Consider the following 27962-nt stretch of genomic DNA (forward strand, 5'->3'; position numbering starts at 1 on the left):
AAGTATTTTTTATGACCAACTTTAATTTGCTCAAAATGCAGCACTGAAAACTTAGTATGTCCAATTAGATAATACCTTCCTTCCAGAAGTTTTTTAAAAAGATTTTTAATATGTATAGCTATATTTTATTTAATTCTACAAATATGCTTTAAAGACACTTGGTATGGAAAAGTCTTTGTCTCATGGATAGTGGTGATGGAATGACTCAATTATCCTCAAATTTTCCTCCATATGTATAAATAGATCTAATACTACCTTCCAGAAAAGTAAGATTTATATTACTTTCTGAAGAAATAAAAGGCTAAAACAATCATGTAGACTTCATAACTGGCAATGAAATACTTTCCTATGAACTATGTATTAAAATAAGAAGGGAAAGATTTTAATAATTGTTAAAAGTGACAAGCAGGTTGCAAGAATTTGAGATTAATTCACAAAAGTAAACTGATTCAAAAAATAGGTTAGGTAGAGGCAAAACAAAACACAAAAGCAAAAAGAGGCTATAGTTGTTCCAGAAGAAAGTTCTAGATTGATTCATATAATTAGCAAATGTACAAATCAAAAAAGTGCCTTTTTTTTTTTTTTTTTGAGACGAAGTCTCGCTCTATTGCCCAGCCTGGCGCGTAGTGGTGCGATCTCAGCTCACTGCAACCTCTGCCTCCCAGGTTCAAGCAATTCTCCTGCCTCAGCCTCCTGAGTAGCTGGGACTACAGGCATGCGCCAACACGCCCGGCTAATTTTTTGTATTTTTTAGTAGAGACAGGGTTTCACCCTGTTAGCCAGAATAGTCTCCATCTCCTGACCTCATGATCCTCCTGCCCTGGCCTCCCAAAGTGCTGGGATTACAGGCGTGAGCCACCACCCCCGGCCAAAAAAGTGCCTTTTAAAAGTGATTGTGTGCTGCTCATATGGAAGGAAATTTGACAACATCTAATAAAACTACATATGCATTTACTCTTTGACCAGCAATCATTCTTCTAGGAATTTACTCTAAAGCTACATCTCCATAATAATTCCCATTTACAGAAGGTCGACTAAAGCAAGATCCAACCATACAACAGAGTACTATGCAGCCATTTAAGAAACTGGCCATAATAATAGTCAAAAAGATGCCTATGAACTAATGTAGAATGATTTCTGGAATATATTCTTAAGTAAACAAACAAAAATACAAGGTGCAAAGGAGTATATATACTACATTTTCTGTAAGTAAGAATATTAAATATATACAAGTTTGCTTATATATGCAAGAAGAAACATATAAAGAATGAGCCAGAATGAATAAATGTGGTTAGCTACATAGGTATGGTTGGAAGAGAGCAGAAGGAATAGGAATGAGAGCAAGATTTTGCAGTACAGGGGATACATGTTTATACATTTTTTGTGTGGTTTAAAAAAACAATTATTTATTTTTTATTTTTTTAATATATGGAGATGAGGGTCTCAGTTTGTTGCCCAGGCTGGTCTCGAACTCCTGGATTCAAGGGATCCTCCGGCCTCGGCCTCCCAAATTGCTAGGATTACAGGCATGAGCTACTATGCCTGGCCACATTTTTTTAAGTTTTGAATCATGCAAACCTTTTTTAGAATTTCAGAATAAGAATATAAAAAATCACATCCTAACACTGAATATCAACAGAAACAAATGTATCTAACTATATATATAACTCTAACTAGATACCCTTAATGGACTATAGTCTAAGTGCAAAAACAATGTCCAAAAAAAAAAAACAGTTGTACTAAGTAGTTTGCTGTTGGTAGCAGTATTAGTATTGTTATGCTGAAACTATTTTGTACGTATTGTTGGATAAAGTGAATAAGCAAGTATTGCTGAGAACCTGGGTTTTCACTGTGAGAGAGGGGAGATGCATATATAGAATGTGAGAAGTGATGAAGAACCTTGTAGTGGTGGACTTGAATTGGAGCTATGAGACTAAATTCGTGATTTTGAAAAAATATGATTTCCTAACACTATCCTTAGAAAAGTCCTAAAAATAACGATGCTCCGTTAAAAGTGAGCATGTCCAACACCCATATTTGGTTTCTAAATGCTATTCCCCACTTAAAAGAACCAGAACTTCTCAGAGAGATGGCTGATTACAGGTCTGGGGCAGGCAAGATAACAAGATGACCCTGGAAATTTTGGTGTGCATAAAGCAAGGGAGTCTTCAAACACCAATGACATTATATCAAAAGGACATAGGAAGTAGCTTGAAAGGGAACCACTGATAAGCTTGGGACAATTTGAGCATGAAAAAAAGACAGTGGCAGAAACTGATTAGAACTCATTAATTAAAACATAATGGGTTATTTTCCATTAATGCCATGTGTTAGATTAATTTAAAAAACATGAAATCCACAGAAATATTAAAAAGTGGGAAAGGGAAATCACTAGACGAAAAGTTAAGAAGATAATATTGGCCAGGAGCGGTGGCTCACACCTGTAATCCCAGCACTTTGGGAGGCCGAGGTGGGTGGATCACGAGGTCAGGAGATCAAGACATATTGGCCAACATGGTGAAACCCCATCTCTAGTAACATACAAAAAATTGCTGGGCATGGTGGCACGTGCCTGTAATCCCAGCTACTCAGGAGGCTGAGGCAGGGCAATCGCTTGAACCCAGGAGGCAGAGGTTGCAGTAAGCTGAGATCGCGCCACTGCACTCGAGCCTGGTGACAGAGCAAGACTCCAACAACAACAACAACAACAACAACAACAACAACAAAAGATAATAATCACATGGTCTGTAAATATCACTACACAGATTAATTAAAAAGGGAAAATGTTCCTTTACAATGAGGAGAGCTAGAAGACTACACCTTAAGCATGTTCAAATTTAGCAAAACCAGTAATAAAACCTGACTTTATTGCCACCTGATGTGATACAATAAATACACATCATCACCCACACCAAATACTTCAGCACAAAAAGGAATATCATAATACCTACAACTTTCAAATGGTTCAGTAAATGTGGCAAAATGCCAACAACTGGTGAGTAAAAGTGAAGAGTATAAGGATGTTAATTGTACTAGTTTTTCAACTTTTCTATAGATTTGGAATTTTGTAAAATAAGAGTTGGGGAAGAAAAAGTGTGTAGGATGATTTGAGGACAGAATTGACTGGGTGATAGTTATTAAAGATTCCACCGTTTTAATTTCACCATATAAAAATTATGCCACACTACTAAAACAACTAAACCTGATTAAATTTTTACCTTCAACTGAGACTACTAAATGTGACAATGCCACCCCAAAAGCGGAAGGCATAGTAATTAAGCCGAAGTTCTAGCAATAAATTTTAGTGGGTCTTAGTCACTCTGGTAAGAAATGTAATACATTAATCTACTTAAACATTTTCTGAGTGCTTGCTACATTTCAGCCAGAGGTATAGAGATCAGTAAGTTCTGCCAGTTTACTGGGTAAGGTACCTGAGTCAATTTTCCGGAGTATGAACAAGGTCCATCCATAAAATGTCTCAAATCTTTCCGATGTATTTTGTCGTTGCTGTTTGGATGAACCCCCAAAAGAGGATTTTATGAAAATAGTCAATGTTCTTATGTATATTCATCCTCCAAACCTAGTATTCCACTACTGTTTTGACAAATGTTAGCTACTTTTTACACACTTCAAACATGCAGATGTTATGCAAGTAGGTAACTTTTTAAAGGTCAGCTGAAGAATCTTTGACAAAAATAATTACAAAATATATGAAAACTGAAATCATATTGGTAGTATCTTGGCCTTTTCTGCAATTCTAATTTATTTTGAAAGTGCTATATAACACGCCTTAAGACGGTTCTGGGAAATGTACATAGTATTCATTCTTAAATGAACTACTTGTCAGTTTAACATTTTGCAAAATCTTCATTTTCATTCACAAGTTGATTCCAGCCAATCTATTTCGTGGAACAAAAACATTAATTTTAAAATAACTAAATACAAAAATAAGGTTAATATACCTTTAAATTTAAAAAGGCAATGATGCAAGTTAGTTACTAAAAAGAATTACTATAGTTAGCAATACATTTTTTACTAAAATAAACACTTATCTCTTCTTGGTTTATCATAAAATATATTTACTTCATTAAAAACTATTGGCACCCAAGGTATACTAAACATAAATCTAGCTGATCTCTTCCAGTTGTTGCAGATGTTCAAACACATTTTACATCCTTAGAATAAACGTGACAGACAATCATGCAACAAAGGCACTCTGTAAGAGTCACATGTCAATATACTAGGTAACAAACCGGTTACCTTAACAATCCTCTACCCCTACCACCTGGTGAACTGTAGAATACTGGGGGTGTTTTCACTTTTTCACAGACTTGTGGCAAGAGATATATTTATTATTGCTACAACTAACATAGTGCTTTACACATTACATATACCAAATGTATTTCTTTAACAAACAATGTATTAAGCAAAGTTTTATGCAGTTTACCTTTCTATTCTCCTTATTTTCTTGAAGGTATTTTTCAAATAGATGAAGAAAATATACAAATTACTTCAATTCTCCTTTCTATTCTTATTTTCTTGAAGGTATTTTTCAAATAGATGAAGAAAATATACAAATTACTTCAATTCTATCTGCCCATCAGATTGTGTTCCAGAAAAATTCAATCAATTAGCCATTAAGAAAATAATGTATATTCATTTCTCCACATTCCTCAAATGTTGTATTTGTCATTTGCTTATTCTGTGCTGTTAGTTTTTGTGTATGTGCCCGAGGCTATACATTTAGTCTTATGAAAATATCTGAATATAAATTAGGTCCCTTTTACATTTTATTAACAGGAATCTTTACAAGTTCTTGTCACACCTTTATCATTCTTATTCTTGACATTTTAATCATCTTTTCATACCAACTAAAATAGGTACTATTTAGTATATACTTACTATTCCAATATCAAAATGATTTCACTTGTATTTTCATAGACCTCATGAAGATTAATAACACGGGGACAAGACTTTGCCAATTCAAGCACAGCAATCTCGTGTAAAATTTCTGCTCGACAATCCTGTCCTCTTCTTCTCTTTTTTAGAAATTTTGCAGCATATTCTTGGCCAGTAGATTTTGATATACATTGTCTAACCACAGCAAATTTTCCTCTGGGGGAAGATGAGAACAATCAATTTTAATTTTTCTGCAGAGAACAACGTTAGTATATTACAGATTCTGTTATACCTCCAACTTAAAGTCAATTCTTTGAAATATCTGTGTCATTAGGAATTTATCTTTGTTCTCTAAATTGATTCAAATATCATACGTACTTTTATAAAATTTATAGTGCTATCACGTACAAATGTAAATGGCAAACTATAACAACAGGATAAGACAGAATTATATTTATTCTTCACTACTAAAATGATACATTATCTTGGGAGGCCGAGGCAGGCAGATCACTTGAGGTCAGGAGCTCAAGACCAGCCTGGCCAACATGGCAAAACCCTGTCTCTACTAAAAATATAAAAATCAGCCAGGCGTTGTGGCGCATGCCTGTAATCCCAGCTACACAGGAGAATCTATTGAATCTGGGAGGCAGAAGTTGCAGTGAGCCAAGATCATGCCACTGTACTCCAGCCTGGGTGACAGAGTGAGACTGTCTCAAAAAAAAAATAAAAAAAAGATACATTATCATTGCAGGGAAATAATCTCATTTGCACACCAACTCCATGCCATGCTCTTGATATAAATTATTGTGTTTAAGTATCACAACAATCCTATATAATAAATGCTCTCCTGTTCTTCACACCTCAGAGAAGATATGTAATTTAGTCAAGGTAAAGATTTAAACTCAGGTCTATTTCCAAAAACTGTACCCTTCATAGGGTATCATGTTAACTCTCTAATTAGAATAGCTTACCTTTAAATATAAGAAATTAAAGTGAATGCAAAAATGGGTATTTGACTTATTTAATTTTATTAGTAATTTTTCCTTTCAACACAATTTTTACCACCTTTGAAACTATCACAATTGTCAATTGTTTTAGCAATATGTCTCTTAGTAATGCTCAGTAGTCTTTGAAGCCTGTAACAGATAACTAAGGTATATGTGTCCTACAGAAAATATTCAAAGATACTTCATGATAAACTAAGAAAATAATGGTTATCACAGCTATGTACAAACACACCCATTAAGGTCATGTTTATCATTTTAGAAATAAGTATGCTTTTAGCTCTCTCCAATGGCAGTGCTTAGTACCTCTGCCAAAATTTAAAGACACCGAAAATTCATTTCTATTGGCATACGTGTTACTGTAAGTCTACAGCGGCCAAAAATTTATTTTCACAAAAGCCTAAAGCTATTCTGAGTCAAGGATTATTTTGGGAAATTAATAAAAGCTATTCTATTGACTGCCTACCCAGAAAAATATACACAAGCCCTTAAATAGGAAGTTTTACATATAATTCCAGAGGGTTTTCAGATCTTAAAGCCCATCCATAAACCTTATAAGGCTGAGTATAGGGGATCCAAAATTAAGAACCTCTACCTTAAATTTTGAATTACTCTCTGGATTCTGATACTAACAAATCAGGTATAAATAAAAGATCTTTAGGAAGCAATGTTTGTTCCATAACTCCTCTTGCCTCAATTCCCTTCAATATATTTCTAACACAGTCTATCAGACTCTTAGCATGGAAAACAAAACTTGGTGTTTAGGGGGTACGGGGTGGAAACTGGGGGACTACACTGCTTGACTGTATTTTACTAGCTATTCGCAAAGGCCAAGATGACAAAGAGTCCTACTTTTTATTACCCAAATTTCCTCAAAATTGATGTCAGTGGAAAGTACTGGAAATCAAACTATAATTTGACTCTTCTACATTTATCAAAATATATTAATACATCAACTAAATAAATTTGCATATAAAAACCTGATTCTTTGAAAGCAGTTTTAAGATTTGAGAATGCTTAACTATAAAATATTTTCTCATTGTATGCAGAAGGAATACAAATTGATGGGTTTCGATGAGCACACACACACAAAAATTAGTCCCTTTATATTCAATCCACTGGTGTTTCATAAATTTTATACTGGATAAATTGAGTCAGAATAAGATTAAATACCTCATGAAAGCTCATAAATGGAATCGGAGCCTCAAGAATAAAACTGTGAAATGTGAATTCCTAACTTTCTGTTCTAATCACTATAAAACAATTCCTCCCTTTAAAATAGTTTTGTTGGGCCAGACGTGGTGGCTCATGCCTGTAATACCAGCACTTGGGGAGGCCAAGGCGGGCAGATCCAGAGGTCAGGAGATCAAGACCATCTTGACTAACACTATGAAATCCCGTCTCTACTAAAAATACAAAAAATTAGCCGGGCTTGGTGGCACATGCCTGTAATCCCAGCTACTCAGGAAGCTGAGGCAGGAGAATCACTTGAACTCGGCAGACGGAGGTTGCAGTGAGCTGAGACCACGTCACTGCACTCCAGCCTGGGGGACAGAGCAAGACTGTGTCTCAAAAAAAAAAAAAACAAAAAAACAGTTTTGTTAAAGAAGTGTAACTCACTTGCTTCTATCAATTCTTACTTAGATTTCGAAGCAAAAACTTGACTAAAACAGGAAGGAAATTTTGGGCTTTATAAAGAAATTCACTTGTAAAATTTAGGAAACAGAAACTAGTTAGCCAAGAAAACTGTGCATCTGAAAAAACAGTTTATAGTAGTGCTTGTGACAATTCAGTTCTGCAATAATTTTATTATTTATTTTATCTGTAAATAACACTTCTTATCTAATTGTTCCAGGTATTACCAAGAGGTTGTTTTTTTTTTTTTTTTGAGACAGGGTCTCGACTCTATCACCCAGGATGGAGTGCAGTGGCAGGATCTCAGCTCACCGCAGCCTCAACCTCCCAGGCTCAGAAGATTCTCTTACTTCAGCCTCCTGTGTAGCTGGGACCACAGGCACGCACCACCACTCCTGGCTAATTTTTTACATAATTTGTACAGACAGTGTCTCCCTATGTTGCCCAGGCTGGTTTCAAACTCCTGGGCTCAAACGATTCTCCTGCCTCAGCCTCCCAAAGTGTTGAAATTTTACAGGCATGAGCCACTGCACCAGCCCAAGAGGCTTTCTTAAACAAGTATAGTACTCATTAATCCAGGGCAAAGGTGACCAAATGATGTGGATAATGATTTATTTATTTGTCAACGTTCACCACTAAGTAAAAGCTCCATGAGGGCAGGGACCATATCTGTCCTAATTATTATGGTAATTATAAAATCTACAGTTTGTTAACACATAATAGGAACTGAAATATCTGTTGAATGAATGCCAGAAATATGTACCCACTATAATACCATATACTGTGCTATTCTGTATCCTGTACTTAAAGTGTTTGTATTTCTTAAAAGATTGAGATTCCAATAAAATTATATATATGTGTGCGTGTGTATTCATTTATATACTATGAAGGTAAACATTTTTACCATAATTATCAGATGACTTAGGAAAAAAACCAAATATTTGTTTTCCATTCTAAAATGCTATAGTTTAAAAGTATAAAAAATGATCTTTAAAATATGTTTCTATTCCAAATGTAATTGAAACATTTAAGAAAAGTTAAAGCATTTAAAAATAATCCTTAAGTTATACCCTAAAAAGGCAAGGCTAACTAGATTTCCCAGCAGCGAAAAGGTCTAGTAGTTACCCTTCTGCATTCCCCTTCTGCATTCTAGAATACACAATAAAATGTGAAAGGAGGCGGGAGGGTAAGCCACAAAGGAAGCTGACGTTTATTTCTGAATCTGCCTCACCCTTCTAACCACAAGAAGTCCTATGAAACCTTTGCCTCAGTTGGGGGAGGGGTAGAAAAAACTTACCCAACATGTTAAAAAACAGGAACAATTCAAGTTTTTTGAGAATAGTAAAAAATGAACTGTTAACTTTTACATAATTTCCTTTAATTTGCTAAAGGAAAATGAATTATTAAACACTAACACTCTGAAATAAAAAAGTTGATTCAGAAAGATAACTTTCAAAATGTGCAAACCTCAGAAGAAATGATTATGATTCTAATTTCCATTTCACAAAAGCATAGGATATTAAAATTGGTAACAATATTGAAAGAACTTTCAGTACATTCTTGGCAGATGAAAAGCCATGATTTCTAATTTATCAAGATCTAATAATTAAACATATCAATATTTACCATGTGACTCATTAGCCCATATCAATTCAAAAGAAAGATGTTACTTGGTCTCTTTCATAAAGATATTTTAAAATGGGAATTTAGCAATCAATCTAAATTTGCTTTAATCAAATTCTATCATGAGTTTTTGATCTAAAATTCTAAAAAGTATGCCTAATTCAACTTTATTTATGGTGGCACCTCATTTATAAAGCAATTTAGAATTACTAATATCATCCTCAAAGTTTAAATTATCCAAAGCCCTCAAAGCAAAAATACTTTATAGATTTTTTAGCTCCTATAATGTCCCCAATTTTGAAAAGTTAATTTAAAAAATGTAAGTAAATTTACTCATCAAATAGTAACTCAGAAAAATAGAAAAGAAAGTGACTTTTATTGTGTGTACTGTTCAAGACTTGCATAATATTCATTTCCCCATCGCTGAAGCATTCAAACTGAGGCTGGATAACAGTTTGTTCGGGAAATTATAGGAAAGATTGCTGCGCTGCATACAAACATTGTATTAGTAAGACCACGGACCACTGAAGTCTTTCCAATGCAGAGATTCTATGGTTCAATGTGAGATACAGGAAACTTAAAAAAAAGAAAAAGAAAAAAAGAAAAAAAAAACCTTTCTTCCTATTATAATGCAAAATGAAGTAATTAAGATTTAGAACAATTTCTTAAAAACATTTTAAAAGGTTCTAAAAACTCTATCTTTTAATACACCATTAAAACACCCAAATATTTTGCACATTAAATTAGTATGCCAGGAATTATGAAATGTGCTTTTGTATTTAATTCTTGGTCAGTGAGGTAGATATTATAATTCTTTTTTTTTTTTTTTTTTTTTTTTTGAGACAAAGTCTCACTGTGTTGCCCAAGCTGGAGTGCAGTGGCATGATATCGGCTCACTGCAACCTCCACCTGCCGGGTTCAAGTGATTCTTCTGCCTCAGCCTCCTGAGTAGCTGGGACTACAGGCACACGCCACCATGCCTGGCTAATTTTGTATTTTTAGTAGACACAGGGTTTCACTATGTTGGCAAGGGTGGTCTCGAACTCCTGACCTCGTGACCCACCCTCCTCGGCCTCCCAAAATGCTGGGATTACAGGCGTGAGTCACCACACCTGGCCAGATATTATAATTCTTATTTTGCAAAAGAAAGGCTGCATCCAACATCTGCAACGTGAAAAAGCCAGGACTTGCCTCTGCCCTTAAGGTAAAAGGCCACCAAGAATGAAATTACTTTTCATGATTCAGTCAACTTTTCTTCTCACATCGAGATTTTCAAAGACAAAAATCAATCACATTGTTTTGCTGCACATTTATCAACACAAATATGGACTTAGTAAACCATTTAACATACAACAAAACATTTACCTCCAGAACTAAAATCAAACTGAAAATACATGATGACTACCATCTTCCAACCCTTCATTAAGCACCTTTAATTTAAAGCTCAAAAGATGCTGAATATATAACTTAAATAACTTGGTATATCTTTTATAACTTTTCATATATTAAAATGGTAGTACAGAATGGTTTCATAATATCATGTCACTCCTTGGCCGTACAGAGTTTATACACTGGTTAAGAGAAAACAATTTGTAAAGGCTTTTTACTTATAAACCACTCATTTGTTGTGACATAGAATCAGACTATGAAATATGAATTCATTCTTTTTGTTCAACTTAGGAGAGGGGGAGAATCTCCCTATTTCTTCTTCTTCTTCTTTTTTTTTTTTTTTTAAGCCAAGCACAATACCCTAGGAATTTAAAAAAATATTTCATTTAACAAAAACTTACAGAGCACTGTACTAGGCACTTTACAAATATTAACTAACTTAATCCTCATAACAACCATATAAGACAGACACAATTATCTTCACCCCTACTTTTCAGATGAGGAAACGACAGCACTAAGAGGTACAGTAGGCAGGGCGCAGGGGCTCACACCAATTATCTCAGCACTTTGGGAGGCCACGGCCAGAGGATTGCTTGAACCCAGGAGTTGGAGACCAGCCTGGGCAACATGGAGAAACCCTGTCTCTACAAAAAACCAGCCCAGTGTGGTGGTGTGTGCCTGTAGTCCCAGCTACTTAGGAGGCTGAGGTGGCAGATCCCTTGAGCCCAGGAGACAGGAGGTTGCAGTGAGCCAAGATCATGTCACTGCACTCCAGCTTGAGCAACAGAGTGAGACCCCGCCACAAACAAAAATTAAAAAAAGAGGTACAGTTATTTAGTTGAAGTCACACACCTAGTAACTGGTGGAGTCCAAACTTGAACTCGGCAGTCCACTATGCTGAGCTGCCTCTTCCCATGCACAGCCTCATGTAACGACAGAGACCTCCTATCAGAGGCTCTGAGGCTAGGTAGGATGTATGATTTAAGTTCACTAAACCCTCCACAGATTTGATTTTCAAGTCAGTTAAGACTGGACCCTAGGTAACAGCAACAGAGATCACAACTTTCCTTCCTAATCATTGTTAAATAATGATCCCAAGTGAGTTTTATAGAATTATAAAAACACAAATCCAAAATTTGAATTTAGATGGCATACACGTCATATGGTTTTCTTACCTCCCTAGCTCTTTAGATGTAAGTATATAGAAATTATTAAAGTTTTCCATTTTTATTGGAATTTGAGGAGTTGTAGTTAGTAGGCCTGAAATACTTCGGCAATCAAATCTCCTCCTCGACATGTTAGGTGATTCCCAGGTCTGCTTCTTTAGTCACTTATTTTTACCTATGCAAAAAAAGAGAATACAGAGAAAAGATGTTATCTCAGGCAGGATGTGCATTACATTACACAGCTCCAAATATAGCTATAAAATACAACTAAAAAAAAAAAAGATTTAAAGAGCACATTCTATCCACAAGGAGGAAAAAACAAAAAGCATACACATAAACCATAATAACACTATGGCACTTGAACGAAGTTACTGACTTCATTTCAGAATAAAACTACGGTAAAAATCCTCTCAATTTAAAAAAAATAGTTATGATAAAATTATAATGCAAACAATCACTTAGTTTCATCATAAAACTCCATTCTTTAAAGTTATAGAGGTTTCAGCTGGACATGGTGGTATACGCCTATAATCCCAGCACTTTGGGAGGCTGAGGCAGGAGGATCACTTGAGGCCAGAAGTTCAAAACCAGTCCTGGCAACATAGCGAGATCCCATCTCTATGAAAAAATTTAAAAATTAACTGGGTGTAGTGGCTCGCACCTGTAGTCCCAGCTGCTTGGGAGGCTGAGGCAGGAGCATCACTTGAGCCCAGAAGTTTGAGGTTGCAGTGAGCTATGAATGTGCTACTGCAGTTCAGTTTGGGCAATAAAGCGAGATCTTATCTCAATAAATAAATAAATAAATAAATAAATAAATAAATAAAGTTATAGGTTTCACATAATAGGTAATTTAATACGACAAGATAATAATTATTCATTTTAAACTTATTTTCACATGGCTAAAGAAATTTGGTGGTAAATGCACATATTGTGAGTTATATTACTGACGTGAAGGACTACAAGAAATAGAACTTCTTCCACGGATTGGCTATGTTTCAGTACTAAACTCAGAAACTCTCAAAGGTCTTAAGAGTCCCTCCTTTGACAGGACCTAGCACAGAGCCTGCTATGTATGAAGTGCTCAATAATTTTGTTGGAAGAGTGACTAACCTATACATAAAGCTTTATTTCGAAGTTCTGTATCTGAAGCTCATATATGTATCTGGAAATTTGTGATGTTTATATGCATTCAGTGTTATCAAAACTATTATATTAATTGCATTCATAAAACAATAACAGATACTATATTTCAAGACACTTATGACTTATTGCTATGCCTACTTAATAAAATATCAATTATTATTCTTTTAGCACCCTCCTGTAGTAACCCGCTAAGCATTTGTTCCTCCTCTGACATCTTTTTTTCCTATTTTCTACTTATATGTACTGTTCTTTATCTTCTTAAATTCAAATGCCAACTATAGTCTACTTAGCCAAAAAGCAGTGTCATTAGAGTTCAGCGTTTTCAGTTTCTACATTTTCTCTTCTTGGTGTTATTCTCAAATTATGAACGCGTCACTGCAGTTCAGCCTGGGCGATAGATGGAGACCTTGTCTCAAAAAATTAAATTAAAATTATAGCTTTCACATAACTAGATAGTAAAATTGTTTTCTCTACATCTCTTAGTCTTTGGGGAAACAGCTCTAACTAGTTTTGGGGTACATCTCTAGGAGTCAAAGGGTTGTAGTGTAGCATTCTGAGAATAACCTTTAGACTGAAAGACACCTGGGTCTGAATTCCATTCATCCATCATACCAGCTATGAGACCTTAATTAAATTATTTAACTTTGCTATTGTTATGGGCTGAATTGTGTCCTCCCCCAAATTCCTAAGTTGAAAAACCCTAACCCCTGTATCTCATAATGTGACTGTCTTTGGAGACAGGGCCTTTAAAAAGGTGATTAAGTTAAAATGAGGTCATTAAAGTGGGCCAATTAGGACACAGACACACACAGAGGAAAGACTATGTGAACACACTAGGAGAAGGCAGCCATCTACAAGCCAAGAGGGCAGGCCTCAGAAGAAACCAACCCCGCAGACACCCTGATCCCAGATTTCTAGCCTCCAGAATCGTTGAGAAAATATACTTCTGTTAAGTCGCCTGATCTGCGGCAACACAGTTATTTAAAAAGAAAACAAAATATATAATATTTCAAATGTAAGATAAGGAACACTATATACAAACATTTACTTTCCAATCTTATTACTTGGTCATATTTCATTTAAATTAAAAATAAAACATATTAGACATAGCCCCTTCTTTCCACCCCCAGTTTACACTCCCACTAGCACTGGATGGGACGGTTTATCACTACTTTGACAATACTTGCCCAATTCAGACTTTTAAGTTTGGCTATTCTAGTGTGATGAAGGTGAAATGGAATTTTGTTGTGATTTACTTCGCATTCCCTTTTACTGGTGAAGAAAGCTTCGATTTTGCTGCCTCTAAAGTATGGATGATAAAAGAATTGATCTTCCAGTGCTGCAAGGATTAAAAATTAAAATATGCTGAACTCATGTCCACTGACACAGGTACAGTGCAAGTCACAAGGGCATATCGCTATTGTTCCACAAAACAAAATTAACATTCTACCCAAAAATACTCTCCCTGCAGTTCCCTGCCATTGTTGAACAGCTGTACTGTTTCCATGTACAAAATTCTCATCCCAACTTAGTCTAAACTTCATTCTTAAAAGTATTTTTGTTTTCTGTTTTAACTACTTATGTATCTTCTTAGTTCTGATAGCGCTCAGTTTCACTGATTTTTTTCCATTGTTCTGAAAGATCAATATGGGTACCAATTTCCTCATAAGTTCATCTATTTATTAAAAATATACCTACATCACAAGCTGCTTTAGGCATCCATTAAGCATTTCTTAAGTTCATTTTCCTTTTATTTACTGCATCTGAACCAATTGTCAGAGCCAAGATATTTTTCCATTTCCTCTCCTTTGGCCAGTTTTGCATATAGTGGAGCATGAATGTCACCTTTGTCCACCAAGCCCTCCTCAAACATCTGGTTGCCCTTCATATAAGGTACATGCAGGTTATGAGTCAGCTCTCTGTCGCTCCTTCTTGTATCTTCCTAAATTTCCCACCAAATTCTCTTTAACTCCAACAATTCCCAGGCCTTTTCTTGTCTTCTACCACACTTCATATTACCGATTCTAAATTACCTATATGTCTCACTCCATTTGAAATTCATTTCATAACATTTTATCAGGTTATAGCATTTAAAAAAAATCTTAAGGGACCTGGTAAGTAAATTTATATGCATGTGTATACACGATTAGATCCTATAAAAAGTGTAATAGAAGGTAAGACACAATTAAGCTTTTAATCACACAGTACTACTACAAATAATGGTATCTCACTTATTTTTAAAGATTTTTTTCATTAATTCTCATTATAATAATTACCAAAAGAATTTGGAAGTAGATCAGTGAAGGAAGGAAAAGAAGGAAATGTTAGGCTTGATCTGGGCCTTCACTTACTTGAATGCAGAAAGCAAGTGTGATGTGAACAAAAGCAAGACTATCTCTATAAACCTCTAGCTCTATTTTAAAAAGTATTTATCATGATATTTATTTCAAAATTATCAAATAAGAAAGTTTTTAAAAAATAGAATATACAATAATAAAGACATTTAGAAAATCAAATTGTCTGTTTTGATTCCTTCATTAGCTCCCCAGTATCTACAAGCTTTCAAGTACTTACAGCATGACACATAAAGGCCTCTGAGGCCAAGTATACACCAGCTACATTTCCTGCCGCACTCATATTTCATATTTTGCCACCACATCTTTGTTATACTTCTTTGCCTGAAAAAGCCTTTCTACTTTCCTTAAATGGCTAACTCTTCTTACACATCCTTCAAAACTCAACACAGAATGGCCTCTCCCCCAGGAAGCTTTGCCTAAAAACCACAGGCTGATTTAAAGGCTTCTCCTTTATGCTTCAAATAAGAGGATCCTTGGCATACTTCTTTACCTCAAAATGTAACATGTTAGATTGCAATTCTGTTCAGTGTTTAAAGGGCAGCATCCTTTTACTTTTGTGCCTAAGCAACCAGCATGGTATCTGCCACCCGGTAGGAATTTTAAAAATGTTTGATGAACTGAATTGTAAGAATTATGAGATATAGAAAAAAGAATTTGTAGGTATATCTCATGTCTTCGAGGGGTTAGGAGAACTTGAGATCCATCTTGAATTTACAGTACTGGAGCTCTGAATGCAGCTAGTCTCTGCTTAATTCAGCATTTGGACAAATAAAGTAACTATTTTAAATTGCACTTACAAAATGTCAGTTCTAAACAGGTAGCCACAAAGTCTGGAAACACAGATAAAATTATTTTGTCATATACTATAATGTAATGCCAATAGACCTTTTGTTTTTACCACTGTTTCCAGACAAGGTGGCTACTTGTTTTTAATATAAGCTACTAATACAAATACCTACTGCAGTTAAGAACATCACTCTTTTAAGAGCCTCCAAAAATCAGGAGATTCAGGTAAGTGTCCTATCAAGATTTATCACTGATAAGTCTAGATCATCATGAAGTACATTGGAAAGGCAACAGGAAGCAAAGTAAGCCCGAAGATTCTAAGGGAAGCAACTCCTTTCTACATAGGCATTTAAGGCATTTACTGCTAGCAAGCTTTCCCTAGGAAACTGAAAAAGAGATTTAACGTCCATCAAAAGTAAAGGAAGAACTTTCTCCTGGTGTGGCAGAAGTATGTGTTTTTAATTAGTCATTGATTAGAAGTATTGGTATCAAGATGGAAATGATGATGATTTTCAATTTCAAGGAAGAGATTATATTCCTCATATGTATTCTGCCAACAGGTTTTGTTTTTTAAAATATTTTGAACAGAAAATATAATTCATAAACTTAATCCTCTAAAAATCACAATAGGAAGTCAGCTAAACTAACTCTAATCCAACCATTCTAGTATATACTATCCAAGGGCTGAAGTGTCAGGCAATGACTCCTAGGCCTGACTCTGTGCCAAGACCCTAAGGCCTAATGCTGTGTCTTCCCACCTCCAGAAAAAGAGTTAAACCTGTTAATTGTGAACCAGGATAAAAGGTTGAAAAACGGAAATAGAGTGGGGGATTCCGGGGTGGGCAACAAATGCATGGTGCTTGTCACTCACAAGACGGAAAATTGGGTTTCTGTTGTAAAATATTGTTTACTTAATAGCACCGCTTAAGTACTATTTATTCAGTAACTATTACAATGCAAAATGGAATCTGCCTTTAAGGATTAAAGAGGAAATTACCATCTCACTGTTAAAATTTTTCAATGCTTACAGTATCACTACACCCTCTTTTGGAGTAATTGCAAAGGGTCAGGGATGAACCAAAATACAATGCATATAAATATTAAAAGAAACTAATATATATGTTTTAAATGGCACTGAAGTTTGAGGTTAAATGTTCTGGAAAAAGGATAATAAAAAACTTAATAAAGTATGCCCTGAAAATTGCAACATTACAACATATTTAAATAAAAATACATGCTTGTAACTTTATAAGAACATTTCTTAACTGAAATATTCAAAGAAATAGCCTTTGATAACAGCCCAGCATAGAATACAAACTACAGTACTTAAACATAAAATCACTGAATTTTGTCATCAATATTATGAAAAACTAAAGCAACTGACATTTGAAGTTTTCCTAAGTGGAAAGGTAGTAGATAAATGACTGCTAATGTTTCTGACAAAACAAATACCCATACAGTGCAGAAGATTTCTTTATGAAAAGAAGAATCAATCAGTATCCTTTAAAAGTAGTAAGCCTAGGAATACTATTTTTTTTTTTTTTTTTTTTTTTTTTGAGACGGAGTCTCCCTCTGTTGCCCAGGCTGGAGTGCAGTGGCGTGATCTCGGCTCACTGCAACCTCGGCCTTCCGGGTCAAGCAACTCTTCTGCCTCAGCCTCCCGAGTAGCTGGGACTACAGGCGCGCGCCACAATGCCCGGCTAATTTTTGTATTTTTAGTAGACACGGGGTTTCACCATATTGGTCTCGAACGCCTGACCTTATGATCCGCCCGCCTCGGCCTCCCAAAGTGCTGGGATTACAGGCTTGAGCCACTGCGCCCGGCCAGAATACTATTCTTAACTGCCAATCTTACATACAGAAAATGTGAATTACAATATACTATGCATGCAATTTTAAGGCAATTTAACGATTAAGTGAAAGTGTTATTAACTGAATTCCTTGACTTCTTGTGTCTCTAAAATTAAAGCAAAAATATTTTCATAAGGAAATTCTCCCTTATAATTATCAAAGAGCTTTAAAACATGTTAAAATGTTCACTTAACAAAAGTAAAACAGAGCAAGCTTAAAAATAAAATTATCTGATTAGAAACGTCAGCCATAAAAATGCTTGTATCTTCTTCAAATTTGTTACTCATATGCTAACACAGCGATTAGTCAAACCTCCAACTTCCTAAAAACGCATTCTATCTTAACCAAATCGTAATTCACTAATCAATGATCCCAAGAGAAACCGCAACCATTCTATTCACACACAAAAAAGGATGGTCTTCAATTACAGAAATTCTACTTTTAAAAAGTCTTGCCATGTAAGCAAATATATTTCACCTCAATTTTGGATCCCTACTTTAGAAAAAAAAAAAGATCTAAAATGTACAATATGTATCTCAAAAATAAAACATCTATTAATACCTCCAATTATTAAGATACTAGAAAAAGTTTAATTGAGCATCTGCTCAGAGGAGGAGGATCCGAGGCAGATGAGTTTAAAACTTTTGCACCGCTTCTATGGACCAGTTTTCTTAAAAAATACACAATCCTAGGGGTACACGGTCTAATATTTATAAAATAAGCACTTGTTGAAAATTACTTCCGAACAGTTCACCATAAAACTAAAAAACAGTGTTATCAATGAGAAAGTAGGTTTATTTTCCTTTAATAAAATTGTGCTCCTGGGTTCAAAATGCCAGGTTACATACGCTGCCACTCATTTCTACAGAGCTATGCTGTCTCCGCGCAGACATTCTCATAGACTTGAAAACGTAAAGTGGCCACACCACGTCAAACGTCCCTGGCAAGGTTCTGCTTATCATTAGCACCACAGATGTAAACATTACGTCGACAAAACAATCGGTGAATGTGATACACAGTCCTCATGTGTTTAAATATTAGTGAAATCTGATAAGTATTACGATTTTAAAAACGTATTTTCTTAATTCCAATTTCCAAATTGATGTCAGAGTGCCTCTAGTCCAGACAGAAACTAATGCCAGCTACCAGCTGCTATAAAGCCTCTTTCAACTTTGTCTCTACTTCTCCCTCGGAGGAAATTCAAATGAAACGCTTTTCCCTACAATAAAACAAAGAGCCTGGGTAAATGTCAAAAATCGTTGGCATCCAGTAGTGGTATAGTTTGAGGATGAGTCGTGCACACTAAGTGGGTCACAAGGCATCAAAGCAAAAATCAGATCGCTGAAAATCACGGAAACAGCTGTAGCCCGTCTTGATCTCTCGCTGGTTTTAAAACACTGTTCCCAAGCAGTAACTGAAAACGTCCCACAAGATGAACACGAACTTTCTCTAGACGAAAGGCAGCTGGGAGCAGGACGCGTCCACGAGTCCCGATGGGAACGCGCCCACGCCGCAGCTGGGACTCGGGAGAGGCTAGGGGGACCGCGTGGCCTTGCTGTGGAAGGGACCCGCGCGGGCCCGCCGCGAAGGGGGCCCTGCCTGGCGCGACCTGGGGAGAGCCGGGGCCGGCCGGGTGGAGGGCGCACGGGGACACACGGACACGCACAGACACAGACACGCGCCCCGGGCTGAGGAGGGTGGTGGGAGGACCGCCGGCCGCCCCCCGCGCGGAGCCCCAGGGAACCCGGACTCCAGCCGCAAAGCGGAGAGGCGCCAGCAGCAATCAGCCACCTCAGGGGCGGCGGAGTCCAAGCCCCTCTCAGCCGGACCGTACCGCCTAAACCCTCCTCGGGTCCTCCTTCCTCACGTATGAGGTCTCTGTACCGAGGCGGCTGGTTCCATCGCAGCCCCGAGCCAACCCGCCAATCCCGCAGGACACTAACCGCTCCGGCCGCCGCAGGTTCTCCCGGGACTGCCCCCTCCAGGGGGCCGCTGTCCCGCCCCACGCCGGGGGCCGCCACAGGACGAGTTCTCTAGCTCCAGCCGGGCGAGGCGCCAGGGAGCTCCGAACGTGGCAGGATCCACTTTTACTTTTCCAGACAAGGGCCGACGGTTGTGACCTGGCTTCTCGTGAAGTGACTCCTGGCGACAGCAGCGGAGAGGACTACCGAAGCTTGCAGTCGCGGTTTGAAAACTGCAGCCGCGTCTGGGGCATCGCCGTTCGCCAGATCCCTCCCCCTAGGTCGGGAGAGCCAATCGGAACGGGTGCGGAGGGTGGGTCTGTCACGTGACGGGAGGGGCGGGGCACCGGCCGGGGGCGCGTGTGCGGGGCGGGGCCCGGCGGTGAGAGGGTGCGGCGCCTGGCTGGCCCGAGGCGGGGCGGGGAGGCGCGGCGGCGTGGCGGCGCAGGTGGGGCGCACTCGGGCTGCCGCGAGGGAGGGGCGGAGGGGGCGGCGCTGCAGAGGGGGCGCGCGGGGCTGGAACTACTGCTCTGTGTACTCCTTCCCACCTTCAGAGAGGTCAGTTCGAGAGGTGTGAATATCCGGAGACCGGGGAGAAGGAAGCCGCAAAATTCGTCCCAGCTGCCTGCGACTAGTTACCAAACTTCAGTGCCTACCAAAGACCTATTTTCTGACTCTTCTTGAGAGTCTTCCTTAGGACCGGAACGTACCCTGTAAGTGGAGAACCCAGTTTGCTACAACTTGGCAGAGGTTCCTCGGAGTGTCAACATCAGTTGGGGATTTATGGAACCTAGACCCCACTGCTAACGTCCGCTGTCGCGAATGGTGTCCCTTCTGAGGCACTGACTGAAGGCAGTGTAGGGAGGGTCCCAATAGGCTGAATAGCCGATTTTGCATTTATAGTGCTAAGGAAAAAGATGAAAGCCCTCAGCAACCTACTCAAGATCTGTTATCCTTTGAAGACAGTGGAAATTTTCAAAGTTCTGTGCAAGACACAAATGTTTTACATAGATATATAATCCTAGTTTATATGTATAGGATACACACATACTCATACATATATGGGATTAGTTATGTAATCTAGGATTGCTTTCAGAGGACATTTACGATAATTGCAGAAAACCCTTCCGTGGGAAAGGATACTGGGAGTGGAGTCGTCCTCTTGCTTTCAAAAGACTTAATGTTCAGTTAGCATATAAAGGACAGGTTTTCTTGTTCTATCCCAGTAAGCCAAGCAAATTCCTGTGAAGCTAGCTGTTTCCCTTTCCTACTGCATTTTCCCCAAGATAAAGGTATAGAATGCATCACAGCCCTTTTATGAAGTCTGTTTGTTGTTACTTAGGTTAACTCCTCCTCCCAGGTTAATAATGTCTTGCCCCTAAACCTTGTCAAATGGAGAATATTGCTTCCATCTATCTAATTTCTTGTTGCTAACAATTGGGCTGACTAGAGAAGCCTAAAGTTAGGATGAAAATAAAATGCCACACACTGGAATTAACTTTTCTGGGGTATAAGAATCCGTAAGCAATGAGACTGTTCCCATCTTTTCTTTCATGAGCATAGGTGTTGCATTCCAGAGGTCTCAGCACCAGTACCAAAACTAGTAACCTCTTGGGGGTCACAGGATTACATCATTATGGTGGTTTTGGGGTTGTGTGTTTAACTTTGGACCTCCTTAATTTCAACATTTCATCAATTGCCAGCTTTTAGCAATCTTCTCACACTCACCCCATACTCCCCGTCACTAATCCAGTCCCAGATCACTTCACACCTAGACACAGACTTTTCTCTCTCTGGCACCACTGTAAGCCAGTCCTCTTGGTCACAATACCTCTGCTGTAACCAGCCAGCCTCCTAGGGATATTGTCATGTCTTGCATTTTCCTGCTTCTGCCTTAGCTCCAGCTTATCACCATCCTCCTCATCCATACCTGTTCATCAGTTTCTGACTTTAAGAAGGTTACCCTCTTCAGGAATCAGAACTCTGCTGATTCCTACTTTCTGTTCCCAGCCTGATCACCTCTGCCTTATGTTCTTTGGTGCAGGGCTGATAGTTTGTGTTTCTTTTATGACCCTAAATAGATTGTTAACCCTTGTGCCTGATGTCAGATTTGTTAACTAGGACTTACCACACTATCCCAAGGACATTCAACTACACTTACTTGGTCTCAGGCACTGTGGTTCAAGTAACAAGGAATTCCTGGTGCTGAGGAGGAGGCAGTACATCTGTGGCCTTGCAGGAAAATTCAGAAGTCAATACATTCCTCCATCCACCTCATTTACCTAAACTCATTCATCACCGTGTCAAAGATATATGTTCCTGCTCTCATTCCCTTGAGTAGGAAATCTCCAGGTGACCTGATGGTCATTCTGTGGTCATTGCTTCTGACCACACAGTTCATTAAGTTGACCATCCTTGAATGACACATTCCGACCAGGGATGGCGGTTGTTATGGGCTCAGTTGTGTTCTTTTCCAGTTCATACGTTGAAATTCTAACCCTCAGGAACTCAGAGTATGACCGTATGTGGAGATAGGGCCTTTAAAGAGGTAATTAAGGTAAAATGAGATAATATGAGTGGCCCCTGATCCAAGATGACTGGTGTCCTGATAAGAAGAAATTAGGACACATACAACACTGACTAAGGGACCACCCTGTGAGGACATAACAAGAAGGTGGCCATTTGCAAAGCAAGCAGAGAGGTTTCAGAAGAAACAAGACCTGCTGATATCTTGATCAACAGCCTCTAGCCTCCAGAACTGTCTGTTGTTTAAGCTGTCCGCTCTGTGGTATTTGTTATGGCAGTCCAAGCAAACAAATACAGTGGTCCTCCTGGATCACTCCAGGTTAGTAATCACACACTGACTGGGAGCGATGATCGTTCCCAGTCACTGCTTACCACATGTGGCCAGGGAAGGTGATCCTCTCCGGTAATGGCACGACACTCACCATATTCTGTCCAGGGAAGGGACCTTCCCCAGTCACATCAAGTCAGTCACCGCATACTGACCACATAATGATCAAGGAAAGTGATTCTCACCGATTCCATGTTTACTCCCTGTAGATGCAGAAAAGGAGGGTTTTGCACAGAGCAGAAGGCCTCAAACTCAAAACTCTTGCCACTGACACACCCTCCTTCTGAAGAATTCATGTGGAAAAGGCAAAACAAGCTCTACTACCTGTCTAGAACTGAATATACCAGAAACCTGTGGCTAGGCTAAAGGTAGCCAGACGCAGGCAAGGCCAACAGCCTCTGAAGGGGCGTGGCTCAACCCCCCACCCAACAGGGGTGCTCACTGAATGGAGACAGGCTCCTCCAAACAGATCCCCTCTCTGGAGGTAGGAATAGTGAGTGTACTCAGATGGAGATGTCGCAGTGCATTTACTCATGGTGCCTACAGCACATTGCAATTTTGAAAGCACTGAGAACCAGAGAGACTCTAAGAGACCTCACATCCCCTGACTCTCTTGAAACACTATTAGCAAAGCTAATTGGGGCTAGTTTTGTCTGATGAGAGTAATAACTCAGACTGGTACAAGTGTCTTCCTTAAAGGGTGACACAGCTTTCCTCTCCAAAACATCCATGATCAACTAGGGCCAATATGCCAATCCAACCACTCACTGCAGTTTATAGAGTATAACCTGTCCTGTAAAAGCTGTCCAAAAGAAATGCCACGCACATTGGCAAATGTTCTACTAGTCATATTTTAAAAAGTAAACACAGATAAAATTAATTTTAACAATTTATTTTATTTAACCCAATATTTCTAAAACATTGTCATTTCAACATGTAATCAACAAAAATTATTGAGACATTTTACTTCCTTTTTTAATATTGTCTTAAATCTAGTATTTTATACTTACAGCATGTCCCAATTCAGATGCCAAATTTTCATCGGAAACACTTGATCTGTATTTAGATTTCACAAAATTTACTGTTGCAAAAAGCAGATTCACATTCCTAAGTTGTTTTGAACAAACTAAAGTTTTTCACGCCAGGTGTGGTGGCTCATATCTGTAATCCTAGCACTTTGGGAGGCCAAGGCGGGCAGATGATTTGAGATCAGGAGTTCAAGACCAGCCTGGCCAACATGGTGAAACCCCGTCTCTACTAAAAATACAAAAATTAGCCAGGCATGGTGGCAGGTTCCTGTGATCCCAGCAACTCAGTAGGTTGAGGCAGGAGAATCACTTGAACGCAGGAGGCAGAGGTTGCAGTTAGCCGAGATTGTGTACCACTGCACTCCAGCTTGGGCGACAAAGCGAGACTCTGTCTCAAAAATAAATAAAGTTTTTCAATAACTAAATACAGTATCAGTTTCTTAATATAAATTTAATGACAATGAAATAAAATAGAAAATTTTGTCATGTTAGCCACATCCCAAGTGTTTCATGGCCACATGTGGCTACTAAGTTAGGCAGTGTAGGTCTGAAGGGCTAGAAACGTGCCTTCTAATTGTGTCTAAATTTCCAGTGCTAGAGACAATCAGAGCAGTCTGGAGCTAGAAAAATTCTTGCAGTTCAGTAACCCAACTCCCTTGTTTTAGAAGGGAAGAAACCTACAGTGAGAGAAGTTGAGGGACTTGCAAAAGATCACACACCTAAATTCGGTGGTACATATCTGAACAATAATTTAGGTCTCCTGACTCTTAATCCTAAGATATTATTTAAGCCTCTTCACATCAGACATACTTCAGAATAAAGTAATTTTTAAATTTATCTGAATCATCACTCCGATGATACAGGCAAGAGAAAGCAAACCTGTATCCCAACTGCATTCTCATAACCTGATAAGAGCACACCCTACAATATTTAAGGCACCCTCCTTCCACTCTGTCTTAGGGTCCATGTGGTTTCATCTGTCAGCTCTCTTACCTCAATGCATCACTGCTTCCTCTCCTTGGAGCCACCTGGCCGAACATCGCTGCCGCCCGCCCACAGAGCATCCGGCCACATTTTTCTGTCTGCAGTTTTCCTCTCCCAGGTGTCTACCACACGTTATTTAAGGTTGTGCTTCAGAGAATCCTTTATATTTGCAAACCAAAATATTCAGTAGAAACTACAGTAAAGTTGTAGAAGAGCTGCTATGCTCCAGCCACAAACACACCAGGCTCTAAAGTTCTACCTCGTGAGAAGCTGTGAGAGAGAAAGAGAAGATATATGTGTGGTTAAGTGTGTGACATCAGGCAGCCCTGCCTTCAAGTCCCAGTTCTGCCCATTCCTTGTTGTGTGATTTTGGGCGATCCTCAGTTTTCTCATCTGTGAAATGGGGATAATAATAATAGCTACCTCCATGAGATTGAAATGGGATAATGCATACTAAGAACAGTGCCTAACAAGAATAAACCCTTGGTTCTGTTCCTACAAGCTATTATTATTTACCAGTGCTTTGCCAGCTCCCCATGTGCACTACTGCGCCCTGTGACTAGCAAGATGCTCAAGACATTGTGGGTTCTATATAAATATTTGTCAAATGGCTTTATAAGATACTTTCGATTTTCCTCACATCTTATGGTTGATGCTAGTAGGGATCATTGGGAGAAAAATGTCATTGGAAAGGAAAGGGGAGAGGGAGGTGACTGCTTTTCCTTTCAGTATCTATCTGGTGGAGACACCCAAGTTCGGAATGAAGCTCTAAGGGTCAACAAATGGTGGAGTCCAGGGGGCCGTGTGAGATAAAGAAATTAGTCACTAGTGTTTAAAGGAAGTAGATATCAAGTGGTGCAAAGAAATAAATACAGGGTATAAATATAGGGTGCTGTCTATTTGATTTGAGTAGATAACGCCTACTAGCTCTCCCTAATAAATCTCTTCCTTTTTCACTTTGCTAAGAAACTTCCTCTGCCAACTGCATATACCATGAATGACAACCTGCTATCACATTCTCCAGGGTACATGGCAGGTACCCTTCCAGAAACCCTTCACGTAGTGAGTCTTCTTACAGCAGGCAGTAGCAGATATAGATAAGGCAGAGCCAACTTTTAATCCCCAGCAACTCCCTCATTAGGAGTGATCTTTGTGTCAACTGGTGTAAGGTGATAGCATGAACATTGAGAAGGCCAATCTACTCTGAAAGTTGAGCCATTTTGTGGCATAAAAGCATTAGTAATGTGGGAAATGGTACTATTCCTGATTATCACAGCATTCCTGACATTGAGAATATTCAAAGATTCTTGAATCTTTTTAGTAGTTGGCCTTTCCTTTAGATTTATAGAGCAGCATTTCATGGCTTCACTTTTACCGAAGAATCAGTAAGTTCAGAGCTGTTCAGAAACCTTTAAAAGGTCACAGATTATGAGAGAATGGTTCTGTAATTTACCAGCTGTGAGATCTTGACCAGGTTAGAAAATCTCTGTGCCTCTATTTTTCATCTGTAAAATGGAGATAATATACTTGCCTCATAGTGTACATGGCAACAACAGTTCATAAATAATGAAACTGGCACTGTTCTAAATGTGTTGCTTATGTTAATTCATCTAATGCTCACATCCTCCTATGAGTTACAGTGCTATATTTTCCTCCTTTAAAGATAAGAAAACTAGCCAGGCACGGTGGCTCACACCTGTAATCCCAGCACTTTGGGAGGCCAAGGCAGGTAGATCATGAGGTCAGGAGATTGAGACCATTCTGGCTAACATGGTGAAACCCCATCTCTACTAAAATTACAAAAAAAAAAAAAAATTAGCTGGGCGTGGTGGTGGCTTCTGTAGTCCCAGCTACTCGGGAGGCTGAGCCAGGAGAATGGCGTGAACCGGGGAGGCAGAGCTTGCAGTGAGCCGAGATCACACCACTGCACTCCAGCCTGGGCAACAGAGTGAGACTCTATCTCAAAAAAAAAAAACAAAAACCAGAAAACTAAGGGACGTGGAAGTTATATACTTGCTCGCAGTCATTCAAGTCCATCCTCTACTACACAGACTTTTTTTTTTTTTTTTTGAGACAGGTTCTCACTCTGTCAACGAGGCTGGAGTGCAGTGGCACAATCTCAGCTCACTGCAACCCCTGCCCCCCAGGCTCAAGTGATTCTCGTGCCTCAGCCTCCTGAGTAGCTGGGACTACAGGCGTGCATTCCACACCCAGTTTTTGTTTTTTTTTTTTTTTTTTAGTAGTGACAGGGTTTCGCCATTTGCCCAGGCTGATCTCAAACTCCTGAGCTCAGGCAACCCCCCTTCCCCCAGCCTCCCAAAGTGTCAGGATTACAGGCGTGAGCCACCACACTCAGCCTACACAGACTTTTACTGTGTGGATATTTAATAACTAGCTACTAACAAAAGAGCACACCTTCTTGGGTGTTTTATTCATCTAGTTCCTGGAGTCCTTGTTCTTTTCAGCCTTTTGTTTCTTCTCATATCTACCATTCCAAAATTGCTTTATTGTTAAAATAACTTTTCAAGTATATAAAAAATGCAAAGGGAGAGGGCTCAGAGTTAGAGACATCTGGTCGAAACTCCTGTTTAGCTTAATATAGATACAGATGTTTACATATAGAAATATTTATAGGTTATGTGTATATACATGGGTTGACATACACATGTATAGCTCCTTGCTCTGTTAGCTGAGGGTGCCTAAAAAGTAATGACACCTCAGAAACAACAGCATGCTTAGCACTGAGGTCTTAGTCTCTAATATCATTCTCCAAGAAAAGGAATCAAAGCTCCTTGGAGAAATGGCTGCTTCTGTGACTGAGGATGGAAATATACAGATGGGCCTGAAGTATCTTGTAGTCCAGAAAGAAGGAAGTGCAAGCGAACACCACCATGCAATTATGGGGGCATTCAAAGAGAAGGGAACCAGGAGCCAACTACAAGAGCTCACAATGGCCAAAGCTAGGACAATTTGAGCAACACAAGAAATAAAGCAGTAGTAGACTATAACCCAAAGTATAAAATAAATGTCTATGAATTCATACTGACATAAATAAATGGTTGAAAGAATAGACAAATCTTCCATACAGAAGAAATATGAGCAATTTATGCAGATACTCCACCCTCAAGTCGGTGGAGCATAACTCCCCACTCCTTAAGTGTGGGCTGCCCATAGTGACTTTCTTCCAAAGACTGAAATATAGGAAGAGATGGGGAGAAAGCACCTTTAGGGTGGAGAAACCTGACGAAACCTACCTCAAGCCAGATGATCAAGGTTAAGGTC

At 38.7% G+C, this 27962-nt stretch overlaps 1 protein-coding gene and 1 long non-coding RNA gene across 8 annotated transcripts in view, besides 5 other annotated features; one reads left to right on the forward strand and one right to left on the reverse strand.

The window, feature by feature from the left end:
* The window catches only part of STK17B (serine/threonine kinase 17b), a 42901-nt gene extending 17954 nt beyond the window's left edge, over positions 1-24947 (reverse strand). Inside the window, exons 1-4 of one of the 7 annotated variants that reach the window (XM_011512170.2) lie at positions 24690-24947; positions 22713-22871; positions 11726-11891; positions 4903-5115 (exon numbers count right to left, since the gene is read on the reverse strand). In XM_011512170.2, coding sequence (XP_011510472.1) covers positions 4903-5115; positions 11726-11847 — 335 coding nt within the window. In that variant the 5' untranslated portion in view covers positions 11848-11891; positions 22713-22871; positions 24690-24947. Of the gene's footprint in view, positions 1-3431; positions 3508-4902; positions 5116-11725; positions 11892-14046; positions 14199-19796; positions 20043-22712; positions 22872-24689 lie in introns of those variants that run through there. The other 6 variants (XM_047446334.1, XM_047446333.1, XM_011512169.2 and 3 more) reach the window with 6 other exon arrangements.
* Positions 7474-7974: an enhancer, noted in NCBI's record as "H3K27ac hESC enhancer chr2:197023734-197024234 (GRCh37/hg19 assembly coordinates)". NCBI's record gives its function as "activates a minimal SCP1, AML or CMV promoter by ChIP-STARR-seq in primed H9 embryonic stem cells {active_cell/tissue: H9 hESC(primed)}" and the evidence as "EXISTENCE:reporter gene assay evidence [ECO:0000049][PMID:30033119]".
* Positions 15625-15694: an enhancer, noted in NCBI's record as "active region_16896". NCBI's record gives its function as "activates an Ori minimal core promoter by ATAC-STARR-seq in GM12878 lymphoblastoid cells {active_cell/tissue: GM12878}" and the evidence as "EXISTENCE:reporter gene assay evidence [ECO:0000049][PMID:35858748]".
* Positions 19368-19587: a silencer, noted in NCBI's record as "silent region_12202". NCBI's record gives its function as "represses an Ori minimal core promoter by ATAC-STARR-seq in GM12878 lymphoblastoid cells {active_cell/tissue: GM12878}" and the evidence as "EXISTENCE:reporter gene assay evidence [ECO:0000049][PMID:35858748]".
* On the forward strand, positions 20003-21312 carry LOC101927454 (uncharacterized). Its single transcript, XR_923737.2, has 2 exons — positions 20003-20095; positions 20369-21312. It is a non-coding gene; the product is annotated as an uncharacterized LOC101927454 (long non-coding RNA).
* Positions 20108-20337: a silencer, noted in NCBI's record as "silent region_12203". NCBI's record gives its function as "represses an Ori minimal core promoter by ATAC-STARR-seq in GM12878 lymphoblastoid cells {active_cell/tissue: GM12878}" and the evidence as "EXISTENCE:reporter gene assay evidence [ECO:0000049][PMID:35858748]".
* Positions 24765-25024: an enhancer, noted in NCBI's record as "active region_16897". NCBI's record gives its function as "activates an Ori minimal core promoter by ATAC-STARR-seq in GM12878 lymphoblastoid cells {active_cell/tissue: GM12878}" and the evidence as "EXISTENCE:reporter gene assay evidence [ECO:0000049][PMID:35858748]".

This window comes from Homo sapiens, chromosome 2 (assembly GCF_000001405.40).
Source record: "Homo sapiens chromosome 2, GRCh38.p14 Primary Assembly".
NCBI lineage: Eukaryota > Metazoa > Chordata > Mammalia > Primates > Hominidae > Homo > Homo sapiens.